The sequence below is a fragment of the Homo sapiens genome, chromosome 7 (assembly GCF_000001405.40).
Source record: "Homo sapiens chromosome 7, GRCh38.p14 Primary Assembly".
Classification (NCBI taxonomy): domain Eukaryota; kingdom Metazoa; phylum Chordata; class Mammalia; order Primates; family Hominidae; genus Homo; species Homo sapiens.
This window is the reverse complement of record NC_000007.14, coordinates 12,574,682-12,592,050: the sequence shown is the minus strand read 5'-3', so window position 1 is coordinate 12,592,050 and position 17,369 is coordinate 12,574,682. Positions and strand designations below refer to the sequence as shown.

General features: G+C 39.4%; 2 protein-coding genes across 6 annotated transcripts in view; one reads left to right on the top strand and one right to left on the bottom strand.

Moving 5' to 3' along the window:
* Positions 1-17,369, top strand: part of LOC107986768 (uncharacterized) — a 31,315-nt gene that overhangs the window by 3,157 nt on the left and 10,789 nt on the right. Inside the window, exon 2 of one of the 3 annotated variants that reach the window (XR_007060635.1) lies at positions 2,986-3,545. The gene's annotated coding sequence lies outside the window, so the exon portion shown is untranslated. Of the gene's footprint in view, positions 1-2,985; positions 3,568-17,369 lie in introns of those variants that run through there. The other 2 variants (XR_007060634.1, XM_047421172.1) reach the window with 2 other exon arrangements.
* SCIN (scinderin) overlaps positions 1-17,369 on the bottom strand; it is an 89,463-nt gene that overhangs the window by 68,132 nt on the left and 3,962 nt on the right. For 2 of the 3 annotated variants that reach the window (NR_156701.2, NM_001112706.3), the window contains exons 2-3: positions 13,833-13,987; positions 10,830-10,991 (exon numbers count right to left, since the gene is read on the bottom strand). Coding sequence is in view for 1 of the 3 variants with exons in the window: in NM_001112706.3 (NP_001106177.1) it covers positions 10,830-10,991; positions 13,833-13,987 (317 nt within the window). In the remaining 2 variants the exon portion in view is untranslated. Of the gene's footprint in view, positions 1-2,477; positions 2,529-10,829; positions 10,992-13,832; positions 13,988-17,369 lie in introns of those variants that run through there. The other variant, NM_033128.3, reaches the window with a different exon arrangement.

The following is a 17,369-nucleotide window of genomic DNA, read 5'->3' as shown; positions in this document are numbered from 1 at the left end:
TTCTTTGGACAAGCTCTAGCCCGAAACCTTACTTCCTTAAACCTGTCTCCCAGTCATCTTCAATATGTGGACGACCTTCTTCTTTGCAGCCCCTCTCTAAAAGACTCTCAAACTCACACGGCCACTGCTCTCTTAAACTTTCTCGCTATCAAAGGGTATAGGGTCTCCCCCTCCAAGGCCCAACTCTCCATCTCCATGATGACTTACTTAGGAATTCAACTTTCCCCTGGGGCCCAGGCTATGACTCCAGCCAGGGCAGCATTAATAGAAAATCTACCCCCACCCTCCTCCAAAAGCGAAATCCTTTCCTTCCCAGGGCTAGCAGGCTTCTTTAGAATATGGATTTCCAACTTTGCCCTCCTAGCTCATCCCCTCTATGAAGTGGCCAAAGGCCCTCCCAATGAACCCCTAAACCCCTCACATAACATACTCCCCAGCTTCCACAAACTCCAAACTGCTCTTGTCACTGCGTCAGCTCCGTCCTTACCTGATATCTCCCAACCTTTCACTCTCTATACTGCTGAAAGCTGAGGAATAGCCCTCGGTGTCTTAGGACAACAGAAAGGAAATCCTCCTTCCTTTGCCCCTGTAGCTTACCTCTCTAAACAACTAGATAACACAGTCAAAGGGTGGCCAGCCTGCTTTAAAGCACTAGAAGTGGTAGCCAGCTTAGCTCTAGAAAGCAGGAAACTAACTTTCAGCCAGAATACCACCGTCCACAGTTCTCATAATCTACAAGATCTCCTCTCCTCCCAAGCAGTAAGCTCCCTTCCTCCTTCCAGGATTCAATTACTCCATGCCCTCTTTATAAAAAATCCCAAATTCAGTCTTACCAGAAGTGCTTCCCTCAACCCAGCATCCTTACTCCCCGTATCCTCTTCCCTTCCTACTCATTCTTCCACTGATATCCTGGACCACGTACAGCCACATTTCCCAAACATTTCCTCCGAGCCTCTCACCAACCCCGATGATCAACTATTCATAGATGGCTCCTCTTCCAGGCCCACCAGCTACCCCCCAGATTGCTGGATATGCAGTTGTTTCCCTTGACCAAGTAATTGAAGCCAGGATCCTCCTCCCAAAAAGCAGAACTCATAGCTCTCACCAGGGCCCTAAATCTTTCCAAAGGCAAACGAGTCAACATTTATACAGACTCCAAATATGCCTATCACATTCCTCGTTCCCACGCTGCTATCTGGCAAAAGAGAGGACTCCTTACTGCCAAAGGAACCCCTATCACTAATGGCCACCTTATTTACTAACTCCTTCAGGCCACACACCTCCCAGCTAAAGCAGGAGTTATACACTGTTGAGGACATCGAACAGGTTCAGATGAAATCTCGAGGCAACAGAAAGGCCGATGAGGCAGCAAAAGAAGCCTCCCTTTCTTCTGCCTCTGCCCCTCTCCTTCCTGTTATCCCAGCAATCCTACCCAAGAACTCTCCCACCGAGAAAGCTTTGCTATACAGCAAGCAGCCTCCTTTCAAGGGGACTGGATAGTCAAAAATCAAAAGCTCGTCCTCCCCTAAGAGCAGACCAAAGAAATTCTGACATCTCTTCACCAATCCTTCCATATCAGTGTGCGCCCCCATACCTACTCCTTCACCCTATTTCTCCTCCCCCCATCTATTCACCTCACTAAGAGACATAACCTCAAACTGTCCTATATGCTCTGTTACTTCCTCCCAAGGGGCCCTCCACTCTCCCTCCATCCCTACACATCCCCTCAGAGGAACACTCCCAGGGGAGGACTGGCAAATAGACTTCACCCACATTCATCCCGTCAAGAGGACAAAATTTATTCTTACTCTTATAGACACCTTCTCTAGGTGGGTAGAAGCATTTCCTACCTCTTCAGAAAAGGCCGCAGAAGTCTCCCAAATTCTTGTAACAGAAATCATCCCTACATTTGGTCTCCCTGGCTCCATACAATCAGACAATGGCCCCTAGCTTCATCTCCCAAATCACTCAACAGGTTTCTCAGTCCCTTGGCATCCAGTGGCGTCTCCATATCCCATGCTGGCCCCAGACATCCGGAAAAGTCGAAAGGGCAAATGGGATCCTTAAGGCTCAGTTAACCAAACTCACTCTTGAAGTCCAAAAACCATGGACCTCCCTTTTGCCCATAGCACTGGAGAGCATTAGAGCCAGTCCAAAAGCACCCTCCTTCCTCAGTCCATTTGAGTTAATATACGGACGCCCTTTCCTCTTACAAAACAGGCCCCCTTCTAACTCTCAGCTAGGAGAATACCTCCCAACAGTCTCCCTCATGAGCTATCTCCTCTGCCAACAAGCCGACCAGGCCCTCCCAAAACCCCACGAAGGGGTCTCCAATCCCAAATAGACTTGCTCTCCAATTCCAAAAGACTCTTTAAGCAGCAGTGACACTTCAAAACCATCGAGGTTTAGATCTCCTCACTGCCGAGAAAGGCGGCCTGTGTATCTTTTTAGAAGAGGAGTGCTGTTTCTATACTAACCAGTCAGGACTAGTACAAGATGCTGCTGGACGAATAAATGAAAAAGCTTCTGGCCGGGTGCAGTGGCTCACGCCTGTAATCCCAGATCTTTGGGAGGCTGAGGCGGGCGGATCACGAGGTCAGGAGATCGAGACCATCTTGGCTAACACGGTGAAACCCCGTCTCTACTAAAAATAGAAAAAATTAGCCGGGCGTGGTGGCCGGCAGCTGTACTCCCAGCTACTCAGGAGGCTGAGGCAGGAGAATGGCGTGTGGGGTGAACCCGGGAGGCGGAGCTTGCAGTGAGCAGAGATGATGCCACTGCACTCCAGCCTGGGCGACAGAGCAAGACTCCATCTCAAAAAAAAAAAAAAAAAAAGCTGCTGAAATCAGGCAGCGCCTTTCAGATTCCCGGCCCAGGTGATTTCGTAACTCCTGGGCACCCTGGCTACTGCCCTTCCTAGGCCCTGCCATTACCCTCTTCCTCCATTTAGCACTTGGCCCATGTCTCTTACATCTCCTTACCCAGTTTTTACAGGGCCGTGTTAGAGCCTTCACCCATGGAACAGTACAAGACATGATGCTACTCCGAGAATACCGACAGCTCCAGGAACAGCAGTCCCTACTACCCAGCCTCTCCCCCCAACCATCGCCCCTATCCAGCAAGAAGCAGCCAGAGGACAACGGCGCCCCTCTTCTATTACCTATTAAAAGGCTGGAATGTTAGGAACAAGTTGCACCAGAACCCCTCCCCCTTCCCACCCGCCCCCGCACCCCCCCCCCCCCACCCAATGCAGCTGTCCCTTACCCTGAATACTCTGCAGCTGCATTCCTGGACCCTTATCTAGGCACTACAGCAAGGTCACCAGACTTGCTTACAGCCCTACGGGCAGCATGGGGGAGGTCACGAGAAACGTGGATAAACCTAAGTTACACCCTCTTGTAAATTCCTATATTGTAACCTGGTCACGAGATGATATGTGGTAAGGTTAACCAACAAACAACCCCAGGGTCTCTCTCCCCCATATAAAACCCTCATTTTGTAAGCTCAGGGCTGCCTCCTTTGACTGTGGTGAAGCAGCCTGGCAGGTTAGTAAACTTACTCTCCTGACCTTGGGTCTCTCTCTCGTCCTTTCTCTCGGCTAACCTTACAGCGCCCTCATCCATTCTCCAATTATAATGTGTTTACACCTTTCCTCCTGCATGTCTCACATTTTACCTTGTCATCCTCTTACTTGTGTATGTGTCTATGCCTCCCAGCATTTGACAGTACCTGAAGGTCAAAGCCTATCTGCTGTTTACCCTTACAATTCTATTCACTCGGCACGCACTAGGCACAGAATAAATGCCATTCATCCCTACTTTTACTTCAGGGTACATTTTAGAGATCTAAGATTTGGTGTATCTTTCCCATTATCCATTCTTATTGCCTCAAGGCTCTCCTCTTATAAATCTAGTGGTATGCATTACTTTGGGGGTAAGGACAAATTTATCCAGAACAGAGAAGATTTAGTTCAGTCTTTAGTTTTAAAATAAGCATTTTTAAGTAATAGCAGAGACAAAAGTCTGAAAGCCAACATAGTTTTAATTTAAAAGAAATTTGATTTTGCTACAGCTTTTTGGCCAGGAGTAAGTGAGGATGCTGTTTCGAAAGCTGGTTTTGCATCTTAAGCAGTACGGTGTGGGTCTTAGGGGCTGGAGTGTATCTTGCAGGAAACACAGAGTAGGCAAGAATGTGAGGTGGTGTAAGACTAGTTTGTCTGGTTCAAAAAGTAAAAAAGAAGACTGAAAAAAGTAGGAAATCTAACCCAAAGCAATCAATCTTTGAGAAGAGCCCAGCACACTTCCCTTCCAATTGATTTGTCCTACACCCCTCCATGAGCCTAAGCATTAGAGCAGAAATGACTGAGGGTAGCATCCAAGCCACTGGGCCAAGGGGCACTGGTACGATGAGGATACCGTGTCCCACAATTCTAGGGTAGTCTGGGAAAAACAAAGCAGAGTTCCTGAGAAGAATGCAGTAGTGGCTGACAGAACCAGAAAGGGTGTTGTAGTGATATGTGGCCATGACATCAGAAGACTAAAATGAGGCTATGGATATTCCCTAGCAAATGTCTGGGGAACAGAGGCCAAAGCCGAAAGCTCAAGAATTAATGGAATGACTACACCTCAACGAAGGTTATAGATTAGTGAGGACTGATGAGTACAAACCAGACTCACACATCCATCCTCATCCTCACTCCCCACCCCCAGGCTACAATATTACATATATGTCCCCTACTCCTGAGGGATGGAAAAGAGGATGGGTAGGATAAGTTCAAACTGCTTTAATGGCTAACAAAATTCACCTTTATTCCTTTTTATTTTTAGTTGACATGTAAAAATTGTACATATTTATTGGCTACAGAGTGATATTTTGATACAAGTATAAAGTGTGTAATGATCAAATCAGAGTAATTAGCACATCAATCACCTCAAATAGTTATCACTTATTTGTACTGGGAACACTCGAAATCCTTTTCTAGCTTTGAAAAAATATACAATAAATTATTGTTAACTGTATTCACCACATAGCACTATACAACAGTAGAACAGAATTTATTCCTCCTATATTGCTGTAATTTTGTATCTGTTAATTAACCTCTCCCTAGCCTCCCCTCCCCCTACCCTTCCCAATCTCTCATAACCACAATTCTACTCTCTAGATCTATGAGCTCATTTTTTAAGTCCCTGCATTTGAGTGAGAAGATGAAGTATTTATCTTTCTGCGCATGACTTGCTTTGCTTAACATAATATCCTCCAGATTCATCCACGTTGGTGCAAATGGAAGGATTCCATACTTTATTTTATGGCTGATTATTGTTCCATTGTGTGTATACCATATTTTCTTTATTCACCTGTTTATGGATATTTATGTTGATTCCATACGTTTGCTATTGTGAATAGTGATGCAATAAACATAGGGGCATGCGTATCCCTTTGATATACTAATGTCCCTTCCTTTAGATAAATACCCAGTAGTGGGACTGCTGGATCATATGGTAGTTCTATTTTTATTTTTTTTGAGAAACTTCCATAATGTTTTTCATAATGGCTGTAGTAATTTACATTACCACAGCGTATAAGAGTTCCCTTTTCTCGGCATCCTCATGAGCATTTGTCTTTTCTGTGTGTGTTTTTGATGACAGTCATTCTAACTGGGATAAGATGATATCTCATAGTGGTTTTGCTTTCCATTTTCCTGATAATTAGTGATGTTCAGCATTTTTTCATTTACTTATTGGCCATTCAAAATTCATTTCAATAAATCAAAATTATTTTTAAACCTTCTGGGGAAATAGGAGCTTGAGAATAGGGTCCAGTTGAGTTATAAATGAATTAAAAAACACTGTAGACATGTGGCTGCATGAGCCATATACTTTATGCTGGATAGATATACATTTGTTGAAACATCTGTTGAGTGACTGTAAGTTGTAGGCTTTATATTTTAGAAACACAGTGAGTGAGGAAGGCTGATAAGTAAATGGACAAGCAATATAAAAAAGGCTGAGAAGCAAGTCTCTGCATAATGACAGGGAAGTTAAGTCTAAATCTGACCCTAAAGGGCTGGGACACTGGACAGTGGAAGCAGAAGAAAAGGTCAGGAAACAAACTATGAAGAAGACAATATCTGACGTGGATATCAAAGGATGAGAAAATATTGGATGCCTGCTGGAGAAAGTTGCCAAATAAGAGGCGAGTATTCTAGCAAAGGAATCCATCTGCAACAGCAAAAGTCTGGTGACTTGAAGGAATGTGTCAGGCACTGGGTACTAAGACAGTATCAACAGCAATGAAGAGAACAGGAAAGATTCAAGAGATAATTAGAAGGTGGAACAGGCTAGGATAGCAATTAAATGAATGTAGAGCACTTGGGAGAAGTCAGGATGACTCCTGGATTTTGGCTTTGAAATCCTGAGTGAGTGGTGGCTCCATTAATAAGATAAAGACAATTAGAGAAGAAATCATTTTCTAGATGTGTTGAGTTTGAGGTTCTTATGACACACATAACATGAAATATCTGAAATACTGACTTGGAGCTCAGGCAAGAGGTCTGAGTTAGATTTAAAGTTTAGATTGACTCATGGGTAGTAGTTGAAGCTCTGGGTGGGGATGAGTTTGCTTAGGAAGAATGTATAAAAGAAGAGACAATAATTAAAATCCTTTAAAAAAGCACTTGAAGGGCAGGCCATGCAAAGAAGAATAACAGTGGCCTGAGAGGGAGAAAAACAAGGAAGCCAGGGGAGGAGTGAGGCTGGATAAGCTGGGAAAAGTCAAAAGTGTGGGTTGCAACACAAGAATCACGTGCATAATGTCACGGTGTCCACCGGATTTACCAGGGGTCATCGATGCCCATAACAAGAACATTTTCCGAGGAACTGTGAGAGTGAAAGTCTGACTGTGGGTTAAAGACTGACTGGTAAATGAGGAAGTGGAGACTGTTTTTTCAAAGCAGCATGACTGGACAATGGGAGAGGGCGTGATCATTTATAAATAGTGAGGAGAACAGGGTAAAGCTGCATCACGGACCAAACAGCAAGGAAACAGAACATGGGGAACATCAGGATCAGTAACTCACCACAGGAATTCCTACTCCTGGGAAATAGAATTCTTCACTAGTGGCTGACTGTGACATATCTTTCCAAGAGTTAACCCCAGACTCCAAATCTTAAGAATATGGGCTTTTCTTCCACTATCATTCACATTCTGCAGTTACTGGTAGTATTTTACAGTATTTTCAGATGTAATTTTACTAATTTCTAAAAATAGTTCATATCTTTAAAAATCATGGGAAAATCATGACTAATAAATTCACCAACTTTAAAATATATTGTTCAAAAGTGTTTTTCCAATGACTCTGTAAATTGGTAAGATCTGGCCACATTTCATGTTATTGTCTAAAAATAAGCTAACTATGAGACAATGGGTCTAAATCATTCTCCAAAATATTGATGATGTTCTTCACTTTCAAACTGGCTAAACTGATAATTTTACTATCTTATGCCTCAGGCTGAGGAGGTTATATTGTAATGTCCGGGAATATTTACTATAATTTAAAATTCAATAAAAGGACAATATGGAATAACATATTAATAATAGTGACTGTTGATCAAAAAAGCTGATTTCTCTGATATATGATCAAGGTATGGGATTTAGGTTATATCCATAACCTTAGTTTTGGCCAGGTGGCCTTAGCTGGGTGATAACTGGATGTTTAACCTAAGTTTTTCATACCTGGGTCATAATACAAACTTGAAGAAACTGCACTGGCATCCTTTTAGGCTCTCTGATGCAGAAGGTTGTCTTTGGATAACTAGCGCAATTACTACTATTAAAATATTATGGTACAGAAAAGTTTAGTTACGTGTATTTCTTTGTTTACTGACACACCCCAAAATAAAGTTGCCAAGGTAGTTCAAGATCTTATCACCATTCAGAAACTTTTGGCAACATACCAACTGGTTAAAGGTTAATAACACAAACACAGATCCTGGAGGTATTTGCCATAGATTATGTAGGAATCTGGTGCTTGATTCTCACCAGGGTATCCCTTTTGAGTATAGGAAAATTCCAGAATATAATTGATAACCAAGCACCAGTACCTCTGCAACAAATATCTCTCATTCCAAATATCTCTTTTACAAGGCATGGGAAAAGAGAACTTGAAAGTTATTAAAGATAATTAACTATATAAAATAAAAATAATTTACTATTAAATAGATGAATGCCCTGGAACCTTATAATAGAGACTCTGTCCCTATTACGTGAACCTGGATTTGTGGCCCATACTCCCACAGGTTGACTATGGGAAGAGAGTATACGGCACAAGAACTACAACCTGTCTACCACCACACCCAACTACCTGGCCCATAGTGGAAACTCTGTATTTGTTCTGCAAAATAATAAATGATTTAGTGAATACTACTGCTTTCAGTGGAATCTCAGCAGATTAAGCATCATCAGTTCTGAATTCAGCAGATTCTGAAACTGTCACAAGGCATTCTATTACCAGGCCATACTATCTAATATACTACCAAGTTAGCTTAGTGTGGTGAAAAAAATGTAAAGTAGGAATAGAAAAACCCAGGACCCATCCTGGGTCATCACGCAACTGGCATGAATGTGGAGTGACTTGCACATACCTTCTAAAGCCTAAGGCTTTTGTTTCCCCTTTTGAAACTGGGATGATAACTGCCATTTCCCAGATGTGACTGTGTGTCAGATGAGACTGAATCATAGTCAGCTAAGGATAAAAGTGGTATCAGAAATCAGAGTCAAGATGTAAAAACAAATGAGGAAGTTAAGGCTCAGAGACATTAATGAGTTGCCCAATATCATAGCAGATAGTTAGAAAGCTGAATTGGAAGCTATTCATGATAATTGAATAGATTATTATATTTACATAGCAATTACATTATATATAACAAGTTTTTTTTTTTAAGAAAAGAAATACTTTCAAGTAATGGCAGCAATTAATTACATTATCACTGGGAAGTGCCTTTCTGGTTAAGGGACCCTCGCGATCACCTACTCAAATATTTGCTTTTACAGATGAGAACCTCAGAGTACAGCAACTGGAATGAGAACTGAGGTCTCCTTTTTCTAATAAAAATGCCATTTTATTTTCAAAAGCACTTATAAAGGGCTTTAGAGTACAAGTGGTGGAGATGAAAGTTGAGATAGAAAATTATTGTGCATAAGGTTTGAGAGACTGAATGCTGCAATTGCTTTCGGAACTGTGTGGCTGTAGACATTTATGTGCACGAGTTATTTATTTCTTTATTTATAGTGTAGGGGGTGGTGGCGGTAGGGGAGAATGGAAGGGTGGAACAGTATGTGTATTCTGCCTAGATATGAGAGTCAGGACTTAAATCTGTTAGGAGAATGAATTAGCTATTGAAGTTGAAAAGGACTTTCCCATGAAATTTATTGTGAGATTCAGGGCAAAGGTACTGCCATTTAGGGTGTAGATGTCTACGTGTAATATTAAGAATTGTACTTTGGGCATTTATATTATTGTGATCTCAACTTTGCACACAAGCTGGTATGATCCAAGACAGTTGGATTATGTATAAGTAGTAATAAAACTATAGATGCACGCTCACTTAAAGAAACTGATGCAGTTTATACTTTGGGGTCATTTTCTAAACAATGTATAACCTTAGTACATTTAATCTCTGTACTGTTGTTAGATTAATATTGCTTAAACAGAACTTTGTAACTCTATTTTCAGAATCTTTTGTGCCCTCCTCTATGCAGATGGAATAAGCTCTTTTGGCTTCTGTCTACTGCTTTATCCCAAAATACTGCCCAAGTAGATGCAATAAAACAAAATGCTTCGTGGGGAATCAGATATGCTGAGAGTCTAATCCTGCCTTCACCATTTACTAACTTTGCAACCTTGAGCAAATTCCATAGACAAGCCTCATGCTAACTGAAGCAATGCAGGTCAGCTCATGACTCCGTTACAACGTTTGGCCCAGAAATGTTAGGAATGATAATTAGAATGTTGAGATGTATGGTGTGATGAAAATGATGATAATGAAAAGCAGGAAGAGGAGAGCCTTATAAGTTCTGTGCTTTCTTGCTTTCATTGCTTTTGCACATGGCTTTTCAGTGGAGGGAAATGCTCTTTATTTCTATTATAAAAACTTCACAAAGTTTTAAAGACACAACTTATATTCTACCTTCTAGGGTCTAGCAAAGGGTCTTGAAATAATGCTTCTTTGTCATGACAGTAATGATTAATAAGTATACCTGATATTAGAGGAGCGTCTTTTCCAGGAAGAAAACATAAGTCAGATATAATATACCATTGCCCATGCCATTAAGATAATACTTGATATTTGTACTTGTGCTAATTGAAAAGTGTGAAATGGTATGGTGTGTGTATATACGTACATCAAAATATGTCTTTAAAATTCTTTAGGTGGCTGTTTAGATTCATCTTATGTCCATATTATATTCTAGAACCTTTTGTTGCTGGGGGAACCAGTTTCCCCCTCAAGCTATGTTTTCCCATGCACAATTAGAGACAAAAATAATTAGAGGAAGCTCTGTTCAGAGAGAAGGGGAAATGTATTAAAAATTAGTCAATTTCTGTTCTATGGTAGGAAGAACTAAATCACTATTCTAAACCTATCAAAGAAAATAAAAACTTTGAAGTCTCACTTCATGCGTCATTTAAATACTTGGCAATTACTCAGCTCACATAAACGTGGCCCCTTTCTGGTGTGTAGAAAAAGTGATTCTTTTCAATGACATGTACATATGATTTGATCCGAAAGCAATTCACTTTTCTTTAGACATCGATGTGTATATATGAAACTTACGGTGCCAAGGTCAATGATGAAGCAGTCACCCTTGTTGAAACTGTCCCAGCTAAGGGGAACTTCTGTGGCTCTCACCACTCTACGACCCTTCACATGTAGGAGCCTCTTGGCTGTCAGGTCGTTCGTAAGAACATGATTTAATCCAGATGCCACGCCTCCAGCCTGATGAATGAGGGAAGACAGACACACAAAAAACAAAGAGAAAACTGATGAGGTGTCTGCCTAGACAAAGCAAAGCACAATAATACTGCTGGTGTTTGTGCCAAAACTGTACCTGTCAGGCCAAGTTAAAATAGCCACCTATTCCATAAAACAAGAGAGAACCCCTTGGTAATCAACAGATTGTGTTTGTTTGGTCTCTTTATTCTTTCTGTTTTAACCATTCAATTGACAACTGCAAGTATTTACTGAGAACCTTCAGTGTATAAAACGCTGCTGCAAAAACAAAAAGAAGATGCCATAGCTCTTGCCCTTTGGACACTAATGATCCCCAAATCAATAATGAGCAAGGCAAAGATTTCAGGGAAGAAGGTGACAGGTGGCTAGAGGAGGGTCAGAAGTAACACATACAGATGACAGCAGCCAGAGAAGAAGGCACCCAAAAGTTCACACTGGTACAGGGTTGGGACAGAGATGGTTGTTGAGTGCTGGCCAGGAATGGGTTGATCTTATGTATGGTCCTTGTTTTTACATTTAAAGTAATCAAATGTCTTCTTTATTTTCTGGTAAACAGGTCTTACTATTAATAAATATGCTAGGCCTGAGTGTTTTTACTGTAAGCTAGGAGAGATGCAATATCTTGGCTGTACATCCCCAAACAAAAAAAATAAAATAAAATGAAATACAATCACCCGAATTAAAGAAAGATATTAACTGTATCAACTACATCTTCTTATATTATTTGCAATGATCTTTTACCTTTTCATTTTTTCTAATTAAATGATATGAACCATATCTTTATTTCTACTATTAATTATAATTAATTATATGTGAATAACTGAGCTACAGTATAAACAAAACTGTCACTGATAGATCAAAGACCTCTATAATAATAATGGTACGGAAAATTAGAGCTAATTTGTCATTAGCACATTCTTTTCCATTGATTTTAAATTTCCACCGTTCTCCAATAAAAGTTGGTATAGATTAAATGTTAATTTCAGGACAATTAAAACTTCAAATTAAAAAAAAATATAAAATGATTTCCCAGTCCATAATTTTACAACGACTGCTACATTTCTTGGTTGAATAAACTAAGTATTATATAATTAAATAAATACAAGTTTTCATCTATGTACTCCTGTTTTGAGACAGAGTTTCACTCATGTCTCCCAGGCTGGAGAGCAATGGCATGACCTCGCCTCACTGCAACCTCTGCCTCCTGGGTTCAAGCAATTCTCCTGCCTCAGCTTCCCTAGTAGCTAGGGTTACAGGCGCATGTCACCACGCCCAGTTAAATTTTGTATTTTTAGTAGAGGGAGTTTCACCATATTGGTCAGGCTGGTCTCAAACTTCTGACCTCAGGTGATCCGTCTGCTTTGGCCTCTCAAAGTGTTGGGATTACAGGCATGAGCCACCATGCTCGACTACAGTTACTTTATTATTTAATTTATTCCTTAATACAACACCTGTATGAGGAAACTGTTATAATATTCATTGTTTGGGGAAACTGAGCACAGAAAGCTCAGTATTTTCCCTAAAGCAAACAAGTCATATGTGGCAGAAATGGGTTCATAACTATGATGGTGTCACAGCACCTGCTTTTAGTAACTACAAGACTCAATTTATTTAAAATGTTGAGTTCACTGACATAAAGGAAGTTTCAGTATCGTTTGTCATAAACTGTAGGAGCTCCTGTGAATCAAATAAAATGAGAGGTAATAGTTTTGTATTTAGGGTAGTTCATAGCCTAGAATAAAATAATCATTTCAAGAGACATAAGAGAACCTATAATGTATAAGTGTTTTGTTCTGATCTCAATAATATCACAAAATATTCAACGAAGACTCTGAACAGGTAAAGGTATAAATAAACCTCGCCATCTTAGTAGGCGGACTTAGTATTACAGTCAGAATTGTAGTGAAGCTCTAAGGTTTCAGGTCTTCACTAGGGTAGCATGCTCACAGGGCAGGGCAGTGGGGTGTGCAGAACACTTGCTGGAGCGTGTTTGATTTCGGAAATCTGTGATGTTTGTCTGGGGAGGGTATTCCTCACACTTTAACTGAACACGTGTGGAGGGGTGAGTGGCAGGAATGGTGAAGGGAGGGCCAGTCTGGAAAGCTAACTAGGAGGATGCCAAAAAAAAAAAAAAACCTGTCCTATACTGAAGGCTGCCTTAAAGGGATAGAACCATTTAACTATTTGTTCTTGTTTATTTTCAGAAGTAAAGCCAATTGATCAGTGTTTCAGACCAGTGTGCATAAATTGTGTATGTGCGTGTGTGTAGTTTACCTGCAGAATTTTAAGCTCAAAATTTTCATCTGCATCCCTTCTAAGATCAAACCACACTATTTTGGAAATACATGTATAGTTCTTTACAGTTACTAAAATTATAATTATTATAAATACTGTATTAATATATTCCAGAACAACTGAGATTTTGAAGGCTTAGGTTACTTGCAGAAACTTCAGAGATTTTCTAGAATAGCAAAAATGAAAACTTTTAAGACCCAAATTACCAAAATTTAAATGTTGAAATAGCTACAAAATATTACAAAGGTATCTTGTGAAGACACAACTGAAAGCTCTTTTAAAAAATTAACCTATCAAATTAAATTTTCACAATATTTCACATATTGTACCACACATTTCACAAACATTTATTGAACACCTACTTTGTATCCAGCAGGTACTGGGGATATATCCATGAACAAAACAGATTAAAACAAAAGCAAATAAAACAAAAACCCCTGCCCTCAACGAACTGTCATTCTATGAAGACAGGAGGTATGGATGGACAAGAGGAGAAAGGGATTCATAATGGAAACTGAGGGAGCTGCTTACCTTGTATTTCAGACCGCCTTTGAAATAGCTAACAAAGTCATTAGACTCATATCCTTGAAGTTCTCTATTCTGCACTGGCTTGCCACCCAAATAGTCATCCATCTGAACAGTGAAGATGGCAGCAGCTGTGCTTTCATCCTGGGAACACTCCTTTCCTAAAACAGTGAACAACAGCACCTCAATTATCAAGCAAGAGAAAGGATTAAGGCAGAATTTCTGATATGAAAGAAGTCAGAAATTTTCATTTCAATTATGTATCAATCCAACAGTCTTCTACACAAAGATCTTTTAGCTAAAATACTGTATGTAATACATTATTTTGCTAATAATTAACAATTTTTTTAGTCTATTTTTTTTTTTTTTGAGAGAGGGTGTTGCTCTGTTGCTAAGCCTGGAATGCAATGGCATAATCATAGCTCACTGTAACCCCAAACTCTGGGGCTTAAGCGATCCTCCTACCTCAGTCTCACAAGCAGCTTGGACTACAGGTGCGTGCCACCATGCTTTGCTAATTCTCAAAAAAGTGTTTTGTAGGGAAAAGGTCTCCATATGTTGCCCAGGCTGGTCTCAAACTCCTGGCCTCAAGCAGTCCTCTGGCTTTGGCCTCCTAAATTGTTGGGGATTACAGGTATGAGCCACCATGCCCGGCCTGTTTTTGTTTCTGCTTTTTCCAATTCCTTTAAAAATTTTAAAAAGAAACACTGTTGTGTGAAGTTGCTCAAGAAGATAAAACAATCTATTCCAATGAGATTTAAGTAAGCATTAATTTGGTAAGGTCAATAAGATCAGACTATGAAAACATTTGACAAGTGGTTTAGCCTTTATTAGGATAAATCTTTGATTTTATGATATGTCAATATGTTAACTGATGTTTGTGAGAAATATGAGCATCAGAGCCATAATTAAATAAGTGGTTTTTACAATGGGAAAATGAATATAATTTAATTTTACCCCTATTTTTTGGTCTTTTTCCCTACTTCACTATCTGACTGGTTCTGTTTGAATGAAATAATGATCTCTGGAGGAAAGGAAGAGCAAAGGAAGCAGCACGCTAACATTTATTAAGTGTTAATGTACTTGGTATTGTTCCAGGTATTTTACATACAACATACATTTAATTTTCACAATTGTAATACACATCACATCCAGGTAACTTCACTAAGGTCAAAACAATTCCTAAGAACCAGTGTCTGTAGTGTACATAAAGGATACAGTACGGACAGTCAGGAGGGGCACTCACATTTTATGGAAAACACTTCAAACTCTTTACTACATCCAAGCTGTAATAAAAATCTTAAATGACTCTAGAAATAATAATAGCCAACATTATACATTTATACTACCCCTATGGGCCAGACACTATGCCAATGTTTTACATGGATGATCTCATTTAATCTTCAAGCAACCTCATAAAGCAGAACCTATTTTCTACTAGATTGGAACAGAGAAAATGGAGGCTTAGAGAGGCTGGGTAACTTTTCTGAGGTCATAAAGCAACTTTTGGGAGAAAAAGACCAGATGTAGGTTTGTGTGACTCTGAAGCACAGGTTCTTAAAAACTCCAGTACACTTGTGGGTATTTTTTTGTACTCAGGCTCTCATTAGCGGTACAATTTTATAGTGACAAGGTATGTTAATTTCTTCCATAGATAACTGATGCATAAAAGCTTAGAAGCTGTAATAATTTAATAGTTCACATGAACAACCCTAACTGACAGTATTCACCAAAGTTGAAGAAGGCAAATCAGTCAGTTGTATTAAAGAAAGAATCAGATTTCCTTACAATTTCCCTCTTACTCTCAAATGAGACTCATATACCAAGTATCTTCTGAGGGGAAACAACAACAACAACAAAAAAAAACAACTCAGTAGCTAGAAGATTACTTGACGTGATAACAATTTTGTGAACTCGCTGTGGTCAAAGTTAAGTATTTGACACACCGGCAATTTTGCAATCTGAAAGGACTCTGGTGTCATTCTTCTGCCGATTTGGGATCCGAACCCTAACTGAGAATACCATAAAGATGTAGATGTAGATTTTTATGATGCCTTAAGAGAGATGCTTTAAGAGATAACTTGGAATCAAGGTTAACATCAAAGGTGTTAAAGATGATGTATTTGACATAAACGTCCTTACCTGACTACAGGTTGAAACCTGAATCTCTTTAGGTAGATGTAAATGGACAGGCATGAAGTTAATGAATGAACTGAAAGTAAGTTAATTAAATTATCCTATCATTTGCTGATGCTTATGTAATGTGGTTGGCCAGGGAATATCTGTATGAATAAAACAGGATGCCTGAATGAGGTTGACGGTCTTGATGAAGCCAATGTCAGCCTTTGGATGCGAAAATTAGAATCAAATCCAGTTGTAGCATGATGGAATTCCAGAAAGTATTTAGAAACTTATGAACTTTGTGTATAAAGTCTGCTTAAGAATCAGTTTAGTTTTCCCCTACGAATCTGCTTATGATTTCCATTTGTTGTTTCCCTACACTGATTTTACCGGTGTCTTTTATGTTCTGTTATACTATGCTGTGCCGTGTTATTTTATATTATGTTAGACTTGTGTACATCCTATGAATTTCTATAAGTATTTTGTGGATGTAATGATTTTATAGATAAAAAGAGAGATTTAAAACTAGGTTAATCCAACAGCCATTCATGATAAAATAAAATAAGTCAAATTAGGAATAGAGAGGAACACCTTCCAACGATAATTAGAGTCAACAAAAAACACAGAGCTAGCAATGCTGAACAGTAAAAGACTAAATGTTTTTCCCATAAAATCCAGAAAATGGGTGTGCACTCACACCACTCTTATTCAACATAGTACAGCAAGTTCTAACCACTGCAATAAAGTAAGAAAAAGAAAAAAAAGGCATACAAATTGAATATGAAGAAATAAAAAGGTCTCTATTTAGAGACAACAATATTGTTTACATAGTGAACTCTAAGAGACCTATCCAAAAAAAAAAAAGAAAACTCTCCTAGAAATAAAAAGTACATTGAGCAAATTAGCAGGATACAAGATTCATCAGTAATACAAAAAATCAGTCACATTTCTATATAGAAACAATGAACATGCTGAAACTGAAATTAAAGGCGCAATGCTATTGACAATCACTCCAAAGAAACTGAAATACTCAGGCATATAGTTTAAAAACATGTACAGGATCTGTATGCTGAAAATTACAAAATGGCATTCAAAATATCAAGGAAGACCTAAGTAAATGTAAACGCTTAGTGTTCATGGATTTTAAGACTCCACATAATAATGATGTCAATCCTTCACAAATTGATCTATAGGCCTAATGTTATTCTTACCAAAATCACAGTAAGGTTTATTATAGACATATACAGGCTTATTGCAAAATTTATATAGTGAGGCGCAGGCCCTGGAATAGCTAAAATAATCTTGACAAACAAGCATAAAGTGGGGGGAATCACTCTACCTGATACTAAGGTTTACTACATAGCTAACGTGATTAAAACAGATTGGTACTATTGAAGGATAGACACAGATCAATAGACCCAA